Genomic DNA, 23663 nt, shown 5'->3' on the forward strand with positions numbered 1-23663 from the left:
TAGTATGAAATATAAAATGAGAATGGGGAAATATCGTAAATGTCTTTCAGGGAAATACTACAAGTTAGCAAAATAAGCACGTAAAGCAAGTATATAAATGAGGTTTTCATTCTAAGCTAATGGCTTGAGTGAGGTTACAAGTGGTTGGCTGTGAGTGAAAGAAAAACAGAAAAGAGAACTGTGTCTCTTGTTATATGTGGTAATCCAGGGTGCATATGACTCTACAGAGAGGAATTACTTGATGTTATTGCATAACCAAATAACCCTCACAGAGATGTCCCAAGGCTACACCACAGCTTCCCATTTTCCTGCCCTGGGATCTTCTGATCCGTAAATTCTCCCCAAGCTAATTTTGCCTGTGTTGACATGACGTGAGCACTTTGTTTTGTTTTATTTTTGCATTCCAAACTATACATCTGTCTTTGGATTTTTTTTTTTTTTTGAGGCCTCCTTTTAACGCACTGGTCTCACACTAAATGCCCCACTACAGGAAGGGAATACAATGTCTCTACTTTGCATGTTTCCTATTTGGTCCATCAGATGTCACATGAGGCATAAATCTTGGCAGAATTAAGTGGGTTTCATATAAACTTTAAAAGTATATCTCAAATAAAAGAATATAGACTTATTCTTCAGAAATCAGGGAATCCATCATATGACACAATGCAACAACAGCCGAGACATTAAAAGAATTTGAGTGAAGGTGGTAGCACTTAGAATGAAAATAATAATAGTAGACAAGCTTTATTGAGCTAAACTTTCTATGCTGGGCAGTCATCCGAGGTCATAACATACATTATGTTTTAATCATCAGAATGATTCTGTGAGATCATATGCTAATAATATTACCTTCCCCAATTTACAAATGAGGGAACCAAGGATCAGAAGCTTAAAAACATTGCCCAAAGTCACAGAGCTAGATCATAGCAAACTTAAGCAGTTTGTCTCCAGAGGCCACACCCTTAACCACTCTGCACATTGCCTCTCAGTATGGGTAGAAAGAGCAAGAAATGCCACTTAGGTGTATTGCACCTAATGGCAACTATTAATAGATACAGGAAAATGGAGGAGGAGTAAGTATGACTCCAAAGTTAGAGGACAAGAAGAATGCTGTCACCAGAGGAAATGAAGAGTGTTTGGGAAATGCTGAGTTTAAGTTCCAGCACAACTACCAGGTTGAACTCTCAAGCAAACATCTAGACATACTTACTCAGAGCTCAGAGGGAAGGCCTGAAATAGATATTTGGGAGTAATCTTCACAGAGGTGATATGTGAAGATAAGAAATGGGAAAGATACCCAAGGAAAATAATGAAAAACAAGATATATAACCTTAGTGAACGTTTCCACTGAGATGGTAGAAATAATGGTAGAAAACTGGGACAGGGCTGTAGTCCAGTAGAAAGAAAATTTGAAGGGGCAGAGGTCAAATACTCTATAAGACAGAAAAATGAGAACTGAGATAGTCTTCCGCATTTGACATTTAGAAGGTACATCAAGAACTTCAAGACTGGTTTCATTTAGTGGTAAATATTTTTATTATATATGCAATGTAGATAAAGGCAAAGTAAAAGATATATTCATCAAATCTATAGATGTCATAAGGAAATAAACATTAATGTCAAATGACTAAACATTGAAAAAAATATTTAATGTACTATAAGGAAAGCCAAAGTTCACATAATAAAATTTAGCAGGGGAAGGAAAATATTGTGTATAGTCCAGAAAATAAATTTCCCACAAAATCTATCAGAAAGTGAATTATCAGTAATTCATTTAAAAATTTTTTAATTAAAAATTTTTTTTATTATAAAGCGACTATAATCACATTATGAAATATCTATTCAAATAGATTTTTTAAACCAAGAAAAATAACCTTATATAATTTCAACACCCTAAGAAGATCAGGGTCAGCATTGGTAGGTTTACATATAAGTCTTTGGTTTCCTCTATATGTTTTATGCAGGGAAGCAATGTAGGGTAGATACAATTTTATATACGACTTTTTTCACTTAACATTATATCACTTGAAACTTATATACTATAATATTATATTCATATTTATATGTCTTAATGGTTATATAATAATTTTCCAACTAGTTAATACACCAAAATGTTATTACCCAATCCTCTAATCTTCTTTTTTTTTTTTTTTTTTTTGAGACAGTTTCACTCTTGTTGACCAGGCTGGAGTGCAATGGTACAGTCTCCACTCATCACAACCTCTGCCTCCTGGGTTCAAGTGATTCTCCTGCCTCAGCCTCCCCAGTAGCTGGGATTACAGGCATGTGCCACCACACCTGGCTAATTTTTATATTTTTAGTAGAGATGGGGTTTCTCCATGTTGGTCAAGCTGGTCTTGAACTCCCGACCTCAGGTAATCCACCCGCCTTGGCCTCCCAAAGTGCTGGGATTATAGGTGTGAGCCACCGTGCCCAGCCCCAATCCTCTAATTTTTTAGAGGATTTTTAACATTATTTTTAATATCATTTAACATTATTTGTTTTCAATTTTTCATTTGGGATGCAAAATTATACTGACTTTGTGAATCCAGTTGGGATAATTTTAATATTTTTTATTTGCAAATGTTACATGGAGTCACCTATAAAAACAACATATATCCACAATCTCAAGAAAAAATTCCTTAACAGCACTTCTAAATTTGTTCACCATTTGTTGAATTTTTTTTCAAGTCTCTAACTTATTATTTAACTTTTGGTGTTTCATATTATCCCAGGATTTTTCCCATTTAATTTTGATTCTATAGATTTATTAGCCTAGAATTGTATTTTGCAGGACGCAATAATTTTTTTCTATAGAGGGGCAAATGGCAAGTATTTCAGGTTTTATGATCTATATCATCTCTGTCCGACTAATCAACTCTGCTGTTATGTACAGAAATAGATTATGTAATCAAATGAGAATGGCTGTGTTTCAATAAAATATTATTTGACATAAATTTAAATTTTTTATTATTTTTGATGCCATTTTTTGACATACAAATCTGTAAAATCATTCTAAGTTCATATTCCTTCCAAGGTGAAGGTCATACTGCTGTCTGACTCCCTCTACCACTCAGAAAGAAATAGTCTCTAATGGCCCTGTTTAGATTGTAGAGATAACATGTACCTTTTCCGGGCATGCGACTCTGACCTTTTTCCAAGTAACCCAAAAAGCCGTCAGTTTTGAGTGGCACTCAGAACAAGATACAGCACTGCATCTTTTCAAGGATGACCTGCAAGCTGCTCTGAGACTTGAGTTATATGATCCAGTTAAAGCACTGGTGCTTCAAGTCTCTTTGGCAGATAGGAATGCTGTACAGAGCTTTTATCAGGCCCTTACAGGTAAATCACAGCACAGACCTGTTAGATCTTAAGCAATGCTCTGCCTTCCTCTGGAGATCATGATTCTCCTTTTGTCATACCATAAGGCCTTAGTAGACGTGAATACTTGATCATCAACCATGAAGTTACCATGTGACCTGAGATTCCTATCATGGATTGAGTGTTGTCTGAATCATCACACCATAAATTTGGGCCTGTGCTGTAGTTTCATCATCAAATAGAAGTAGAATATACAAAATCAGGCTTGAGAGGTCCTGAACCTACAAGTAAGCTGCATGAGCAAGTGACTCAGATATCCATGGACCCTATTCTTGCTACATTATCTCCTCTCCTCTCCTCTCCTCTCCTGCAACCTGCATCTGTGTTCTCATGGGAAGTGCCTGTGACCAGCTGACTAAGGAAGAAAAAAATTGGCTAGGTTTAGAGATGGTTCTACATGATATGCTTGTAATACCCAAAATAGACAACTACAATCCTACAGCTCACTCTGAAGAGACCATGAAAGAAAATCAGGAAGTTGCATCTTCTCTATAAACATGATTTCAAGCAGATATGATTGTTTGCATTGCCTGGAAAGAGAGATTGCCAGTGATGTGTCCCATTTCATGAATGGAGGCTGATAGCTTTCCCAGCCACCCAGGAACTTTCTGCAACTCAAAAAATGCAGAGCACCAGAGGCTGCTCCTCACACTATCCATTCTTAGAATGGATTATACCTTCCAGAACCCCATGCCCCACTGCCTGTCCCCTTCACCAGAGGCCATGCTTCATATACTAGAAATTATAGTCCCTGAATAAATATAGAAAGATAATATTGCAAGGATGGTCTGGAAAGAAGTCAGTTGGCCTTGTTCAACTTATAAAACAATTCTTATACAACGAAACATTTGCTACTGGCTTTCTACTTGATGGAAGTTTGTATCTCTGAACAGTAGATAAGTTTGTATCTCTGAATAGTAGATAAGTTTGTATCTCTGAACAGTAGAAGAAATAGAAAGTTACGCTTTTTATATCTGAAATTCCTGTTTTGATTCAGGCCTCATTCACTTTTAGCAAGTCAAGACCTCGTCTATAGTCTAAAATAAAATTGGTTAATTTTTTATATTAAGGCATTTTCAAAATTATTTTGATTGAAATATGGGGGAAAAATTAAATGATGCTGGCTAAATGATATTGTAACGAAGTAATAGCTACTTCTTCAATAACAGGGACTTTAATAAAATAATTTATCTAGAAGAGTACATCCTGGATGCCGAAAGAACTGGAAGCCATTCTACGTGAACAGTAGTAGAGATAACACTTTACACCCAACAAAGAGCAGACAAACATCTGAGGCACCATGACAGAATGGCTGCCTTCAAAGACTTAAAGATATTTGAGATAAGAGATAGATCAAAGTATCAAAAAGTAGACCTATCAATTGATACAACTGATTAAATTAAAATGTACGTTTTGATTCAATACAAAAAAAAAGAGCTGCTCTAAAGAATTATTCAAGCAGAGGCTGGATATCAACTATCATGGATTCTATAAAAGGGATCCTTGCACTGAGTAGAAGGTTGGTCTATTCTACGTAATAATCTAAGGTCTCATCAATGTTTTAATTTCAAGAGAAAAACAATTCCTCTGAACTACAAAAGAGGGAGTTTATTCTATTCTAGCCTGTAACACTGGTGTTTTGGTTTTTTTAAAAAAATGAGATATTGAATGAGGATTTTGTGACTGCAAAATAGCAAGTGACATATTAGAAGGCTTGTTTGCTAATTGGCAGGCAAATAAGTATTCCTATAAATTCGTCTAGACCAAATGACAAGTAGAAAGATGTTTCCCGGAATATCCCCCCTAAGCCACCTAATATATAACTAAGTTCTGATGCATATGGTAAAAGTGAGTCTCACTTGGCAGAGAAACTCAACACACCATGGGAAGAATCACAAGACTTAACCATATTGTGGATTAAAATTTTCTTTTAAAACTTGCTAAAAGAAATATTTTTGAAGCACTGACTTTCTGGATATTGAATGCTTAGACACTGGAAATACTTAGAAATGTGATACACCTGCTTTTCTTCAAAGACTTCCAGACTCAAGGGTCCAGTTATGGTCATTTGGAAGAACTATGGTTTCTAATCATTAATTCTGCACACATTGTTTTGTTCTGTAGGTTTTATATATGAACGTAAGCAAAGTGAAGCAAAAGAGAAATGAATCAGTGGTTCAAAATTCTCTTACATTCAGTCTATCCAAGTGGCAGGAGATATGTCCACTGTGTGAGTTGACTCTCAGGGTCTCACACATAGACTCCTAAAATGTACCTTCTTTTGAATTATCCAAGTTTATCAAGCTCCTAGTAACTTTACTTGATGGTACTAAAGAAAAAAATAATCTCTAACCTCTAACACTATCATTCATACTTGGTGTGATGGTTAATATTAACTGCCAACTTGACTGAAGGATACAAAGTATTGTTTCTGGGTGTATCCCAGTGTTTCTGGGTGTTGCCAGAAGAGATTAACATTTGAGTCAGAGGACTTGGAGAGGAAGACTCATTCTCAGGAAGACCACCCACAATGTGGGTAGACACCATCCAATCTGCTGCCAGGGTAGCTAGAAAAAGGCAGAAGGTGGAAGAAGCTGACTTGCTGAGTCTTCCGGCTTTCATCATTCTCCCGTGCTGGATGCTTCCTGCCCTTGAACATCAGACTACAAGTTCTTTAGCTTTTGGACTCTTGGACTTACATCAATGTTTGCCAAGGGCTCTCCAGCCTTCGCCACAGACTGAAGGTTACACTTTCGGCTTCCCTACTTTTGAGGGACTTGGGCTAGCTTCATTGCTCCTCACTTTGCACATGGTCTATTGTGGGACTCCACCTTGTGATCATCTGAGTCAATTCTCCTTAATAAACTCCCCTTCATATAGACATCTATCCTATATATAGGATATATGGACTTGTATCCTATATATAAGATATATGGACATGTATCCTATATATAAGATATATGGACATCTATCCTATAGACATCTGTCCCTCTAGGGAACCCTAATATACTTGGTAACTTTGGCACAAACCCTTTTATGGATATCTTTTTCCAAGCTCCCATTCCTTTCTAATTGACTCCCTCTCTCCACCCTACTTCTCTACTAGGTCCTTCACTGACCTCAAGAGTATCTCTGTTCTGAGTAAATTGTCAACGTCCTCCATTTTTACTGGTACACTTTTCCAATTCTTCTCCTTCATCTCAGCCAGCCTCTTCGATAAACATTAGTCTTCACATTAAGTTCAATATAATTGTCAAAGAGGAAGAGTTTTACTTAATATATTGTCTTTATCAATCAGTAACCACATTTTTTTGACAATTATCTAATGTGTTTCTAGTATATACTTGCCCTGAATTTCTTTCCTCCAGCCAATACCTTCTTCTCCATTCCTTTTCATTTGTTTTCTCCTGATCACCTGGGTAAAGTAATCCAAGGCTGATGTTTCATTAGCCCTCTTTCCCTCTCCAACCACTAATCAAGTTCTATTCATCCATTCTTCACTAATATCACTCACATCTGTTCTTTCTTTGCATTTCTAAAACATCTCCATAGTTTCACTTACTGCCTGTCACTATGGCCATTGCTTCCTATTCAGGATCCCCTCTTGAAGTTTATCTCAAATCCCTTTAACCCTACATATCACTTCTAAATGAATCACTTTTTGATCAGTAACATGGATGCCTCTCTGCTCCTAGTAACTTTACTTGATGGTACTAAAGTAAATTCATTTAAAACCTTTGGCTTAACATTCAAGGCCCCACGTGCTGTACATCTACCTACCAAGCCACACATACAACCATCAAACGGATATGCCTCGAGTTCCTGCTTAAAGTTCTTCAGTCATTTTCCAATGCCTAAAGAATTCAATCCTGGGGAAGATGTAGGTGCAATGTTTCTTCTCCACTCCTCTTGTCTTCTGAACACTAGGTCTTTTAACCTACTTCTTAATCCTCTTCATTGAAGTAGCATTCATTTTCTGATGGAGAAGTTTGAGAAAGACTAATTCCTTTCTCTTCTTTCTCAGTGGAACTCTTAGAGGCAGATATTCTGTCCTGCTCCTCTTTACAATACTCCATATGTGGTGGTATGTGGCTGTTTGGTGCTGCCTTTGACAAAGTGAATAAATCTACCTAATTCTGGGCTTCAGTCCAAGGAAGCCCACCATTGCCACATATCTATGCTATTTTCTATCATGTGAGCCTTGTTGTCAAGAAAGCGGATATTTAGTTTTGCTGACTCCATTGTATCATGTCATTTACAGGCCCCCTCAAAGTCCAAGACACTTAATGTTTCTTATTCTGCTCACCTTTGGCATCATCTCTATCACTGTCTCTGTGTATCCTGTGCACCTGCCACGCTATTTGTCACTTCCCAGATGTGCTTGCTTGTGCTCATCAACATAGCTGTGAATATGTCATTTCTTCTATTTGTGAAACTCTTGCCCAGTATTCAAAAGCATCAAGACAATTAGTATTTTATTACAGTCACAGCTTATTTTACAATGCTTCCCAGTTATTGTATTTTTTACAAATTGAAGGTTTGTGACAACCTGGTGTCAAGCAAGCCTATTGACACCACTTTTCCAACAATGTGGGCTCACTTCATGTCTCTGTCACATTTTGGTAATTCTTGAAATATTTCAAACTTTTTAATTATTATATCGGTTATGTTAATCTGTGATCAGGGATCTTTGATGGTACCATCATAACTGTTTTGGGGCACCATGAATTGTGTCCACATAAGATGACAAACTTAGTAAATGTATGTGTTCTGACTGCTCACTGACCAATCGTTCCCTCATTTCTCTCCCTCTCCTCAGGCCTTCTTGTTCCCTGAGACACAATAATATTAAATTTAGGCCAATAAATAACCCTACAATGACCTCTAAGTCTTCAATTGACAGAAAGTGTCGCATGTTTCCCACTTTAAGTCAAAAGCTAGAAATAATTAAGCTTAGTGAAGAAGGCATATTGAAAGCTGAGAAAGGCTGAAAGTTAGGCCTCTTGTATCAAATAATTAGCTAAGTTGTAGATACACAGAAAAAGTTCTTGAAGAAAATTAAAAGTGCTATTCCATGAAGTATAAGAAAGTGAAACAAACAGCCTTATTGCTCATATGGAGAAAGTTTCGGTAGTCCAAATAGAAGATCAAACCAGCCATAATATTCCCTTCAGCCAAAGCTTAATTCAGAGCACCCCCTAACTCTCTCCAATTCCATGAAGGCTGAGAGAAGTGAGAAAGCTGCAGAAGAAAAGTTGAAAGCTAACAGAGGTTGGTTCATGAGGTTGAAGGAAAGAAATCATTTCCATAAAATAAAAGTCCAAGATGAAACAGCAAATGCTGACAGAAAAGCTTCAGCAAATTATGCAGAAGTTCTAGCTAAGATAACTGATGAGGGTGGCTACACAGCCACCATTGTAGATTTTCAAATCATTAAACATTCTTAATGTAGACAAAAAAAAGCCTTATTGGGAAAAAGATACTTTCTAGGACATTCAGAGCTAAGGAGGAGAAGTCAATGCCTTGCTTCAAATCTCCAAAAGACAAGCCTACTCTCTTGTTAGGGGCTAATTCAGCTGGTAAATAAGTTAAAGCCAATGCTTATTTATTATTCTGAAAATCCCAGGGGCCTTAAGAATTATATTAAATCTACTCTGCCTGTGCTCTTTAAATGGAACAACAAAGACTGGATAACAGTACAACTGTTTACAGCATGTTTTCTCAATATTTTAAGCCCAATGTTGAGAACTAATGCTCATAATAAATATCTTTTCAAAATATTATTGCTCCTTGACAATGCACTTGGTCACTCAAGAGCTCTAATAGAGATGTACAAGGAGATAAATGTTGTTTTCATACCTGCTAACACACACCCATTCTGCAGTCCATCGGTCAAGGAGTAATTTTGACTTTAAAATCTTACTATTTAAGAAATATATTTTGTAAGGCTATAAGTGTCATGGATAGTGATTTATCTGATGAATCTGGGTGAAGTAAATTGAAAACCTTCTGGAAAGAATTCACCATTCTAGATTCCATTAAGAACATTCGTGATTCATGAGAGAAGGTTAAAATATCAACATTAACAGGAATTTAAAAGAAGTTGATTCCAACCCTCATGGATGACTTGGAGGGGTTCAAGACAAGAGGAGAAAGTAACTGCTTGTATGGTGGAAATAGAAAGATAATTAGAATTAGAAGTGAAGCCTAAAGATGTGACTGAATTACTGAAATCTCATGATAAAACTTGAATGAATGAGGAGTTGCTTCTTATGGATAAGCAAAAGAAAAGTGGTTTCTTGAGATGGAATCTATTTGTGGTGAAGATGCTGTGGATATTGTTGAAATGACAAAAATGATTTAGAATATGACATAAATTTAGTTAATAAAGCAGCAGCAGGGTTTGAGAGGATTGACTCCAATTTTGGAAAATATTCTATTGTGGGTAAAATACTATCAAACAGCATCACATGCTACAGAGAAATCTTTTGTGAAAAAAAAGAGTCAATTGATATGCCAAACATTATTGTTGGCATACAACTTCAAGACTTCAAACCTGTTGGTTTACTTCAAGAAGCTGCCACAGCCAACCAAACCTTTAGCAACCATCACCCTGATAGTTAGCAGTCATTGACATTGAGGAAAGACCCTCCACCAGCAAAAAAAAAAAAATACGGCTTGCTGAAGGCTCAGATGATAGCACTTTTTAGCAATAAATTATTTTTAACTAAGGTATATACATTTTTAGACATAATGCTATTGCACACTTAATAGACCTCAGTATAATGTAAAAATAACTTTTATATACACTAAGAAACTAAAAAAATCATGTGACTTGCTTTTTGTGATAGTTCACCTTACTATGGTGGTCTGGAACCAAACCCACAGTATCTCTGAGGTATGCCTATACTTCCTACAAAGTGTATAATATATATCATATCATATCTTAGTATGTCATATCATATAGGAGTAATTCAAATTCCACCAAAAAGCCATCATCTAAAAACACCACTATACACACTCGAGATTCAATACAACTACAGTTACCCTCAAAAAGTGTAATAATGGGCAAGTTGAACAGTTAAAAGTTGAGATGGAATTTAGATTTAATGCATGAATTCTGCCCCAGACCATAGCTGTCCCTTGCCATATGGCTCCTAAGGGAAGCAGAACACAGGGAATACTGGAAGAGGGTCAAAAAACTAACTTTATTTTTAGCTGGGTTTGGAGCCCTAAACTCAAGTGAAGCCTCCTCTAGGAAGCTGAAATTTGCTGTGTATTACACTAAAGACCTAAGGGGCCTCTAAGTCCACACTGGAACTTCAGGTCTTATTCTCTGTAGCCAACTAAAGAGGGAGAGACAGAAAATAGCTAACTCTAGAGGAGACCCTGAGTCTGGAGGAGACCATACTAGAGATGTACCTGAGGAGTCATTTGCCTAGAGCTGGTATTGCATGTTTTGAAACTACCAGATGAAATCATCCCGTCTGTGCATGAATGGGAAAGAAAGATCAAAACTGAGCCCTGAGGAGATGAGGAAGCACCATCTAAGATTGAAGGAGTATCCAGAATGAATAAAATAGTGAGTTTATGCTATCCCTGGAGCCAAGAGAGAAAAAAATACTTCGAGTGTATATTCTATTATTCAAATTCTACTAATGGTCAAACAAGAAGAGGACTGAGAAATGGCCACTAGGTTTAGCAACATTGAGAATTGGTGACTTTGCATACTCAATAGTGATGATGGAAGTCCCTGTTTCACCACTGACTAGCTATGTCATCATGGGCAATCTTTGATTTTTTATCTCTTAAAACTGTAGTCTGGAAGTCATAATAACAATAATAATAATAATTCCTAATTCTGTGGGTAGTTTTGCATATTAAATGAGATGACACATAAAATGCTCAACATAAGGCCTGTCACAACACAAGCATTCAAATATTAGCTGGCTATTAGGCCTGGAAGGGTAGCAGAGGTCAAGGGCAAATCAATCTCCCTTGCCCTTATTTCTCACATGGGCACCATGAGATATTTCATAGTTGTTTCCCCACTTACATCAAACTAGTGCTTCGGCTTTCTAACTCTTTTATTCTCTCCTCCCTAGGATAAATCTTAGGAGTTATCCTTTCCCATACAGTTATGCATTTGCAAAATTAAATTTCACAGCATTTCCATGAGGCAAAGCAGCATAATGTGTCCTAAGTAGCTCCAGTTGCTTTTTAAGCAAATGTATTTTTGTACAAGAAACAAAAAAGCTGAACATCTCTTTTTCATCTGAAACTCAAACCCCAAGGTACTACTGCCATCCTAAGCAGTTTTCAGTTACTGCTGAATACATATGCACACAGTAAATATGCATATGCAGTAACTGTGGAACATGTAAACTTCAAATTTATTGTACCTAATAAAATTGTGTGCTGAAATGGTCCTATCTGCCCACAATATGTCTATGGTAGAATGCTGGTGACCTAATAAAAAAAAACTTTAATTCCCCTTTGACATTCTTCATAGTAGTAATCTCTGCGCTGACAGGTGGCTAGTAATTTCAAAAGTAATTATGGAGATACTATCTGCAGATGTTTGGGAATTTATTACAAAGTCTTGTAAATGGGTGCCATAGGAATATGTGGAAAATGATGGCTGATATAACTTTTATTTTAAAGAGACACATTCTCCTTAGGAACATCTGGAAGACCTTGTGTGTGAAAGAATTAGAGGTGGGTAACAGGGACCATGCAGAGAACCTTGGCATTTCATAAGTACACACAGCTTCACAATGTCAGCAAGACATTCATTTCGTGCAGAGATTCTAAGTCTTTACCCTACATCACCTCCCTCTTGGGCTCAACTTCAGGACAGGAGCCAGATGGATAATTTCTCTCTATTCTTTTTCCAACAAAAGAACAAACCAGGACAATATATCAAGTTTATAACCGCTAGCAAAAGTCCATGGGTGTGCATAGATATATTTTCTTCCTACAAGTATTCTGTAAATGAAATGTTCTGCATGTAACTGGAATATAACTGCTGGTTATTCAGCTTCTCAAATGATAACAATTTTGAAAAAGTACAAGTATTATTTTTCTGGACCTCCATTTTGCTAAACAAATTAAACTAATGCCTATATACCCAAGGCGTACAGGGTCTTATCCAAAGGCAGCTTTCTACTAGTTAACTATGAATTATATTTGACATTATTATTTACAATATAAAATGTATTAGCATAATATATCCCTGCCATGGTTAAATATTTCACTGTTAATAATAACACGAGCCCTATAAGATGTGTAGGTCAATGCATTATATGAATAATTTGTCCCCTAGTGATATCATGTTTCTGGGATTATTTCTCTTTAAAGCTCACGCTTTTTTACTTTAGCAGAGTAAAAAAGCTTTATCTATAAAAATGCCCTCTTCTCTATGCTGGTAATTACATATCTGAAGTAAAATATTTAAACATTTATTCTTTATATTGCAGCCCTAAATTTTACTTAAAACAGTCATGTCCCTTGCTGACAATATTCTTCAAAATTTCAATTCAAAAATTAATAACTCAAATAGTTTGATAACTTGTAACTGCAAGCTCTTCTTCAGAGATATTAAATATTATAAAGTACATTTGTATGGTACTTTGTGAGGCAATTTTACCTTTTATTATTTAGGTTTCACTACAATCTAGAGAAATAGGCAAAGTTGATTATTCTAGTTTCATCATCCTTGAAAGTGAAGCTAAGAAAATAAAACAGCTTTTTGGATTACATGCCTAGCAGACATACAAACCAGAGAACATAAACTGAGATCTGATTCCTAATTGATCACTTTTGACTACTTATGTAGCTTCTGCAGCAAAAAAAATAAAAAATAAAGAATTAAAAAATTAAAAAATAAAAATTCACATTCTGAAAAGGAGACTTCACTTTCAAAATATCCAGCTCTTTCCTCCAGTTATCCACACTGGTTTTTGTGTATTAAAGAGTTAATCTTACCCAAAGAAAGGCCTGACTTTTGCCCTCATTACCTGGGAGGTGATCTCCAGGAAGAGTGTCTTTGTTTACTTGGGGCCTTGGCCACCAAACAGTCAAACAATGTGATTTATGACGGGGGCTCTGAGACATGTGGCATCTATGCTTAGGGAGATGAAGGCTAAGGGGCAGCCATTCAGGCAGTCAACCATGGAGCCCCAGTAAAACTCTGGACATCAACGCTCAGATGAGCTTCTCTGGTTGGCAATACTGTGTACATGCTGTCACAGTTGTCACACATCCTTGCTGGTAAGGTAATGTTGGCCATGACTCCACAGGGAGAGAATAATGGAAACTCCACATTTGGTACTTTTCTGGGCTCCTCCCTATGCACTTCTTCCCTTGGCAGATTTTAATTGGTATTCTTCACTATAATAAACCATAACTCTTGAATATAACAGTTTCCAGTGAGTTCTGTGAGTCTTCATAGCAAATTATCAAACCTGAAGGCAGTCTTGAGAACCCCGAAACTTGCAACTGGGGTCAGAAGTGAGAGTAGTCTTGTGAACTGTACTTTCTAACTTAACAGTTGATTAATGTCTCACCTTCAGATGAATGCAATATTTCCTTGTAGTATCAATTAGTTAGTCCTTACCTTAAAAAGAGCCCCATTTTCATTTCATCAGGAAAAATGTGTTTTCTTATAAAAATTATGTGAGAACTACCAAGATTTTTACTCTCAATACACAAAGGAACTACTCAGATGTAGTATACCTTGTCTCTCAGCAGTAGTCTACAGATGTTCCTTGACGTACGATGGGATTATGTCCTCATAAACTCATTGTGACTTGAAAATATCATTACGTTAATAATGCTTTTAACACATCTAACCTACCAGTCATTGTAACTTAGCTTAACCTACCTTACCCTTGCTCAGAGCACTTACATTAGCCTAAAGATGAGAAAAATCATCCAATATAAAGCCTATTTTAAGATAAAATGTTGAATATGTCATATAATGTATAGAATACTGTACTAAAAGTAAAAAATAGAATTGCTGTATGGATACTTGAAATATGGTTTCTACTAGTTGTGTATGGCTTTTGCACCATCATAAAGTCAAAAAATTGTAAGTTGAACCATCATTAAATCAGGGTCTGTTTGTACTTTCCTTGCTGTGATGGAAGAAACCAAACTAAAGTTTAATTTTCAATGTCCTAGATGTTATATGATAGTTCTTTTCTTCCTGTTATAACTAAATAAAACCAACAAGAACATGCATCATTTTCACTTGCAAAACATTAAATCATTTTTTCAGAAAATTTTGAGCAACACAAGTCAATCAAATTATGAAAAGAATATCCTGTATTAAAGCTCCTAAAAACACTAAGAAAACTAAGAAACTGATACCTGTACGTAAAACAAATCCAACTTGGAAAGTGCATAACTCAGTTCATAAAATTTTACGTATTCCTTAGGCACAAAACTCTGGGATCTAGGTTGTACATGCATCACTTAATTCCTCTTTTTCCAATAAGAAGGGGTGAAATAAGATCCTTAATCCCTGAAGAAGCTGTGGGCTCTAAACATCTTTGTAAATAGGGTTTCTCCCTACAGTGACCATTGAATATCTTTTTAGGCTTTAAAGTGTGCCAAAATTTAAGCTTTTCTATTGGAAAGAAATCTAAAATCAAGAAATTGAGTGAGAAATGTAAATCTCCTGGAAGATACCACTGAGCTTCCTAACATTTTCTCATTGCTATTTAAATTAAAGAAAACACCATTTTAAAAAAAATACTTTCCCAATGTCCTAACTTTATGATGATAGAGGCAAAGTGTCTCTAATTATTATTAATCTCAACAAAGATTAATTTAAGACCTAAAACATATTCAACTTACTAGAGATGGTGCAGTGATCTAAACAGTATCATTTGGTTTAATTTTCCCATGTCATCAGAGAGCATGTGGTACACATTCTTAAGAAAGTTTTGATAACTGTTAATAAACAATGTATTATATCCCAATCACCTTTTTAAATATTTTGATTTTGATTTTCTTCAAAGAACATTGAATTGATAATATTGACTAATAAGGTATAAAATCATGTTGAAAGGGGAACATCAAAGTTATAATTTAATCTTGAAGAGCCCAGAGACAACTGAAAAATATACCCACACTTAAAGATTTCTTTTCAAGTTTTAGTTGGTCAAATTGATTTTTCTCTTATTCTGCAAATTAAAGGGACATAATCCTCCCAAATTAATTAACTGTGTGTTTAATATCACCTGGAGTGAATAAGAAAATACCAAATAGGCATAACTCCCTAACCAAAAAAGGAAGGGCTGCATTGATATTATTTACACTCCCTTGTTATATAGAGGTTCAAGTCAACCTGCTATAATCACAGCAGAGGGTATGAGATTTTAGATTCATGAGAACAAATGTTTTTCTTTATAGGCCTTTTGCTTTACAGGGTCACGAATCTGTGAGAAACAGCAGACTTTATGAGGATTTTTCCACGGGAAAATGTTCATGAATCTTAGTAATGGCCCAGTTATCATTTCATCAACATCACACCAAATTTCACTGTAAAACCAAGGTTAGTGACTTCCTATTGGAAATGCAAATAAGGAAATTGGCACAAAAGTCCTCTGTATCTTTGATTAGAAAATGATTTCTCCCAAATTCCTTCCTCTAAACTTTGTTATCCTCTGCTCTCTTCTTTTCCCAACTTAGCAAATTCCTGCTCTTTGTACAAGACTCAGGTCAAATCATCTCTGAAGCTTTCCCTGAGAAAATCTCACCTCTCCACATGAGGTCATAACACCATCCCTGTGCTCCTTTAATACTTGGTACTTAGCTCCATTAACACTTACCTCTCTATATTGTAGTTCTTTGCTGAACCTTTTCAATTTTTGCGTCACCAGTACGTAGCCTCTGCAATGCCACATAGTAGGTATTCGGTCAATATTTATGTCATAAATGGATAAATAGTTGAAAGGAAGAAAAATGCCCCTGAAATTTTGGTTAGTTTTATTTATACTTATGTCCATAAAACACTGATAACCATGAACAGTGATATTTATTGCAAAAATCTTCATGAATCCAGAAAAGAAGTAAATAGAATGTCAAGTAATTTGTTATACCAAAACCAAATAGCAGCATGACATTTCTACTTATAATAAAACAAAAATAACCACATATTTTTCTTCTGTCCTCAAGTTGTTCAATATCTATCATAATTTTAATAGTCCTGAATGCAATCCAAATGGTACACTTATCTAATCACCTGAAAATAATATGACCAGCATATAAGCAATAAAAGTGGGTAAAATATTCAGTGGAAATGTTCATCTCACACAAGAATTCTTATCCAACTCAAGTTTTTGGTTTCCTAGGTTACATAAATATTGAAAACACATTTAAAAAAATCAGTCTTGTTCACAGACTCTTAGAATCATTGAACCTTTAACTTTCCTAGCGGGAAGAGACCAGAAAGAGGGAAAAGTAGAGAAGCCAAAACACATAAAAATATTTACAAAGTGAGTTAAGCCTTCTTTATCTTACAGGTAAAGAAACCGAAACCCAGAGAGACTGAACAGTCTACAGAAGATCACCCTTCTTGTTGGCTTCAGTTTAAAATGAAAGGCAACCTAACATAGTTCAGAATATCCATTTAACAGTGTTATTCTGCTATCTGCCACTGATGCCTCTGAGCTTTATGAGTGCTTTATGAGAAGAACTGAGAGCCTTTATGAGATAAAAATGCAAAGTTTGGATGCTGGTAATTTACCCCAGTTTTTCTCTAAACCAATTCTACCCCTACACTAAGATCTTATTTATATGTTTGCTTAGCATCATTCTGAGTCATTACTACAGACTGCACTGCTTGCCCTTTTCAGTCATGGGACAAATACATGCAATTTGTTATCAGATTTACTAAATAAGAGGTTTTGCTTAGTTAAAACTCTCCTATTGAAAAAGTCATTTCAAAGACTAAATCCTACTGATAATGACTGAGAAACAGCAATGTGTGCTTGTGGAGTTTGTTTGTTAATGACTGCTGATTTCCCTAGAGGTTACCCTTCAGTATCTAGAGAGATGTGTCTTATATTTGAATATTAATGAAAGTCACCTGTGAAACTATCAAAGTAAAGTTGCAACAAACAGCTTAAACAGGACAGGAAGACTTTATTCAAGACTATTCCAAGATGGGAGAGAGATTTAATGCAATGTGATGAAACAAAAGGCAGGGGAGTTTTTAAGTGCTAGCAAGGCCTAGTAGAAAAGCACTGGAGGATGTCAAGGGGAGGCTGGTCAATGTGATTAGACCATCTGTGTTTTCTAGTTGGTACTTATTGAAGTTACACTCTTACCCTCCTCAGAGGGTGAGCAATAGAGGCACTCTCTTGATGACTACATTTCAAAGTAATGACACTCAGGTCCTTTCTTTTTCTTTTTAATGAATTGTATTGTGTATATTTAAAGTATACAACGTGATGTTATGAGATACATAGATAGTAAAATGGTTACTATAGTGAAGCCAATTAACATATCCAACAATTCACATAGTTACCCATTTTTTTAAATGTGGCAAGAACATGTACAATCTACTCATTTAGCAAAAATCCCAAATATAAAACACTACTATTACCTTCTCATGCTGCATATTAGACCTCTAGACTTGTTCATCCTATGTATCTGCTATTTTGTATCCTTTGACCTACGTCTCCCATTTCCTCCCATTTGATTTTTTAAGATTCTACAAATAAATGAGATCATGTGATATTTTTCTTTTTGTATCTGGCTTACTTCACTTAGCATAATGTTCTCCGGCTTCATCCATATTGTGGCAAATGGTACAACACTTGTTATTTCTTGTATTTTTGATAATGGCAATCCTAATGGGTATGAAGTGGCATTTCACAGTAGTTTTTATTTGCATTCCCCTGCTGATTAGTGATGTTGAGCATATTTTCATAAACCTCCTGGCCATTTTTATGTTTTCTTTGAGAAAGATATTCTTGGGTTTTAAAACTGGCAAGAGGCTGGGAGTATTTACATCTCAAAGGGGAAGAGAAAGAAGTTATAATAGAAAGTTTTCTAAAGTTAAATACCATAAGAAAAGGTAGGTCAGGGCCTTGGGTCATAAAGAAACCTATCTATAAAGTTTAACAAAGCTGATGGGAAAATTAAAGCTGTCTTTTTAAATACCTGTTAAATAAAGTCCTGAGCCCAACCATTCTTATTCAATAGGCTCTGTTGTGAGCCCAGGAAATTTGCATTTTTAACAAACACATCAGTGATTCTCATGCAGAAGTTTCATGTAATAGCAAACAGATTTCAACTCTTATCAATTGATTGGCTTGTTTAAGGCCTGTATTAAGAATACTGAGACAATATTCAGGCTCAGAAAGAGGGCTATGATCAATGAGTGACATCTTCAATGAGCAAAGGATAGGAGAGGGACAATGAGTGACATCTTCAATGAGCAAAGGATGAGAGAGGGACAGGGTGTATAGGCATGCTATGTAATTGCCATCTGCCCTGGGTATTTCCATGATGGTGCAACTCCCACCTATGGTCAGTTAACCATTTCATCCAAAAAAAGAAAAACAGAGATAAAAGAAAAGTTAAATCCTTAAAGTCTATTTACTGAGTGCCCAAGGACTTTAGTGAGCCTTGAAATATCACAACTTTAAAGAGAAGCTACATGGCTTAAATAATTTGAACAGCAGAGCAAATTTTCCATTTGTGAGTGAAAATTTAGAGGCCTATTATCTTGAAGTCATTTCAGAGGGTCCAGTGATCTGAAGCATGGTAGTGGTACCTTCCTTCCAAAGTTCAAGATAAGTTGTTAAGCCATGAACTCACCTATCATTAAAAAAGAGGTACAATGCTTGGTAGGTCTTCTTGGAATTAGGAGGTAACATACATCATATTTGAATACACTGCTCAGACCCATTTATTGAATAACCCCAAAGGCTGCCAGTTTTAGGCAGGGCCTAGAGCAATGGAAAGCTCTGCAGCAGGACTAAGCTGAAATACAGGTAGTCACTTCAGATTTAGGATCCGGCAGATTCAATGATAGTCAAAGTGTCTGTGGCAAACACAGGTGCTGGATGAAGACTTTGGCAAGATCCTAAAGGAGAACAGAATCACCAAATTTTAGAAAAATAAATGTGCCTTCTTCTGTAGATAACTTGTGGGTAACTATTTTCCTTTTGAAAAATAGCTTCTAGCTTATCAGTGGGTCCTAATGGAGACTGTACCCTCTGAGTATGAGACATTAAGGAACCATATGACCTGAGATATCCATTTTGAGATGATGTTACATGATACTTACAAACTACAATGTTGGCTGATGGAAGCAAATCATCATCAAGTGAAAATAGTATATATGTGACTAGGCTTGTAGAGACGTGGATGGCAGAAATAAGTTACATGAGCAGGTGGTCACACTCCTATGCCACCTACTCCTGCTTTATTGTCCCCTCTCCCCTAATCCACACTCAGGACTTCATGGATAATTACCTTTGATAATTTGAGCAAGGAAGAAAAAGTCTTAGTTTATAGATGGTTTAGCATAATGTTTTTACAACCTAAAAGGAGCCTGCAATTACACACCCACTGAGCAAAGCCAACTATGAAATGCCACTGGAAAAAAAATGTGGTGAAGGAATCCTCCCAGTGGGTAGCACTTCATACAGTTTACCTGGTTTTCTACTTTGTCTATGCTGAGAAATTCAGAAGTACAGACCTAAAGTAACTTGTGGTGATGGACCTAATAGATATTTACAGAACATTTCATCCAATGGCTCCAGAATACACATTCTTTTCCTCAGTGCATGAATCATTCTGAAGCATAGACCATATGTTAGGTCACAAAACAAGTCTTAAAACATTTAAAAATTGGAATAATATCAAGCTTCTTCTCTGATCACAATGGAATAAAACGAGAAGTCAATAATAAGAGGAATTTTGGAAACTATACAAGCACATGGAAATTAAACAATATGCTCCTGAATGACCAATGGGTAAATAAAGAAATTAAGAGGGAAATTGAAAATTTTCTTGAAACAAATAATAATGGAAACACAATATACCAAAAATTATGATACAGTGAAAACAGTACTGAGAGGAAAATTTCTAGCAGTAAGTGCCCACATCCCAAAAGAAAAAGAACTCCAGATAAGTAAACTAACAAGGAATATTAAAAAACTAAAAGCAAGCACAAACAAAACCCAAAATTAGTAGAAGAAAACAAATAAAAGTCAGAGCAGACATCAATGAAATTGAAATGAAGAAAACAGTACAAAAAATCAATGAAATGGAAAGTTGGTGTTTTGAAAAGATAAAGAAAATTAAGAAATCTTTAGCCAGAGCAACTAAGAATAAAAGAGATGAGACCCAAATCACTAAAATGAGAGCTGAAAAAGAAGACACTACAACTGAAACTGCAGAAATTCAAAGGATCATTAGTGGCTACTTGATATGGTTTGGCTGTGTCCCCACCCAAATCTCATCTTTAATTTCCACATGTTGTGGGAGGGACCTGGTGGGAGGTAACTGAATCATGAGGGTGGGTCTTCCCCATGCAGTTCTCATGATAGTGGATAAGTCTCACAAGATCTGATGGTTTTAATAAGGGGAGTTTCCCTGCACAGGCTCTCTTGTCTTGCCAGCCGCCATGTGAGACATGACTTTCACCTTCTACCATGACTGTGAGGCCTTCCCAGCCACATGGAACTATAAGTCCAATAAACCTCTTTCTTTTGTAAATTGTCCAGTCTCAGGTATGACTTTATCAGCAGCGTGAAAATGGACTAATACAGTAAATTGGTACCAGTAGAGTGGGTTAATGCTGAAAAGATATCTGAAAATGTGGAAGCGACTTTGGAACTGGGTAACAGGCAGAAGTTGGAACAGTTTGGAGAGCTCAGGAGAAGAAAGTATAATGTAAGAACGTTTGGAACTTCCTAGAGACTTGTTGAATGGCTTTGACAAAAATGCTGATAGTGATATGAACAGTAAGGTCCAGGCTGAGGTGGTCACAGATGTTGGGAACTGGAGCAAAGGTGATTCTTGTTATGTTTTAGCAAAGAAACTGGTGGCATTTTGCCCCTGCCCTGGAGATTTGTGGAACTTTGAACTTGAGAGAGATAATTTAGGGTATCTGGCAGAAGAAATTTCTAAGCAGCAAAGCATTCAAGAGGTGACTTAGGTGCTGCTAAAGGCATTCAGTGTTATAAGGGAAGGAGAGCATGAAAGTGTGGAAAATTTGCAGCCTGACAGTATGATAGAAAAGAAAAAACTCCATTTTCTGAGGAGAAATTCAAGCCTGCTGCAGAAATTTGCATAAGTAACAAGGAGCCAAATGTTAATCCCCAAGACAATGGTGAAAATGTCTCCAGGGCATGTCAGAGGTCTTTATGGCAGCCCTTCCCATCACAGGCCCAGAGGCCTAGGAGGAAAAATGGCTTCATGGGCCAGGCCCAGGGTCCCTGTGCTATCTGCAGTCTATGGACTTGGTGCCCTACATCTCAGCTGCTCCAGCCATGACTAAAAGGGGCCATGGTACAGCTTGGGCTGTGGCTTCAAAAAGTGCAAGCCCAAAGCCTTGGCAGCTTCCACATAGTGTTGAGCCTGTGGGCACAGAGAAGTCAAGAATTGAGGTTTGGGAACCTCTGCCTAGATTTCAGAGGATGTATGGAAACACTTGGATGTCAGGCAGCAGTTTGCTACAGGGGTAAGTCTCTCATGGAGAACCTCTGCTAGGGCAGTGCGGAAGGGAAATGTGGGGTTAGAGCCCCACACAGGGTCACCACTGGGGCACTGTCTAGTGCAGCTGTGAGAAGAGGGCCAACCATCCTGCAGATCCCAGAATGGTAGATCCACCAACAGCTTGCACCATGAGCCTGAAAAAGCCACAGACACTCAACACCAGCCTGTGAAAGCAGCCAGGAGAGAGGAAGTACCCTGCAAAGCCACAGGGGCGGAGCTGCTCAAGACCATGAAAACATACCTCTTCCATCAGTGTGACCTGGATGTGAGACATAGAGTCAAAGGAGATCATTTTGGAGCTTTAAGATTTGACTGCCCCACTGGATTTTGGACTTGCAAGGGGCCTGTAGGCCCTCTATTTTGGCCATTTTCTCCCATTTGGCATGGCTGTATTTACACAATGCCTGTATCCCCATTGTATCTATGAAGTAACTAACTGGTTTTTGATTTTACAGGTTCATAAGCGGAAGGGATTTGCCTTGTCTCAGGTGACACTTTGGACTGTGGACTTTTGAGTTAATGCTGACATGAGTTAAGACTTTGGGGGACCGTTGGGAAGGCATGATTGGTTTTGAAATGTGAGGACATTAGATTTGGGAGGGGCCAGGGATAGAATAATATGGTTTAGCTATGTCCCCACCCAAATCTCATATTGAATTTCGATGTGCTGTGGGAGGTACCCAGTGGGAAGTAACTGAATCATGGGGGCAGGTCTTTCCCATGCTGTTCTCTTGACAGTGAATAAGTCTCACAAGAGCTGATGGTTTTAAAAAGGGGAGTATCCCTGCACAAGTGTTCTTCTCTTGTCTGCCACCATGTAAGATGTGCCTTTCACCTTCTGCCATGATTGTGAGGTCTTCCAGCCACGTGGAACTGTAAGCCCAATAAACCTCTTTCTTTTGTAAATCGTCCAGTGTCGGGTACGTCTTTATCAGCAGCATGAAAATGGACTAATACACTACTATGAGCAACTGTATACCAATAAATTAGAAAATCTGGAGGAAATAGATAAATTGCTAGATGCATAAAACCTAACAAGATTTAACCATGAAGAAATCCAAAACCTGAACAGACTAACAACAAGTAATGGGATTGAAGCTGTAGTAAAAAGTCTTCCAGCAAAGAAAATCCCAGGAGCTGATGGTTTCACTGCTGAATTCTACCAACCATTTAAAGAAGAACTAATATCAATGCTACTCAAGCTATCCCCCTAAAAAGAAAAGAATACTTCTGAACTCATTTCTACAAGGCCAGTGTCACCCTGATACCAAAACCAGGGAAAGACATGTCAAGAAAAGAAAACTACAGGCCAATATCCCTAATATGGATGCAAAAATACTAAAAATATACTAGCAAACTGAATGCAGCAATACCTTGAAAAGATCATTTATCATGACCAAATGGGATTTATCCTTGGGATGCAAGGATGGTTCAACATACGCAAATCATCAATGTGATGTATCATATCAACAGAGTGAAGGATAAAAACTATATAATCATTTATATTGATGTTGAAAAAGCATTTGATAAATTTC

The 23663-nt window shown here is 36.8% G+C and overlaps 1 long non-coding RNA gene across 3 annotated transcripts in view, besides 1 other annotated feature; it reads right to left on the reverse strand.

Annotated features, from left to right (window-relative positions):
* The window catches only part of LOC102724210 (uncharacterized), a 396780-nt gene that overhangs the window by 88913 nt on the left and 284204 nt on the right, over positions 1–23663 (reverse strand). The gene's annotated exons all lie outside the window — the stretch shown is intronic.
* Positions 20069–20238: an enhancer, noted in NCBI's record as "experimental_73368 CRE fragment used in MPRA reporter constructs". NCBI's record gives its function as "activates a minimal promoter by MPRAs in K562 erythroleukemia cells, with activity observed for both the introgressed and non-introgressed 4:128103997 variant alleles {active_cell/tissue: K562}" and the evidence as "EXISTENCE:reporter gene assay evidence [ECO:0000049][PMID:34662402]".

Source organism: Homo sapiens, chromosome 4 (genome assembly GCF_000001405.40).
Source record: "Homo sapiens chromosome 4, GRCh38.p14 Primary Assembly".
Classification (NCBI taxonomy): domain Eukaryota; kingdom Metazoa; phylum Chordata; class Mammalia; order Primates; family Hominidae; genus Homo; species Homo sapiens.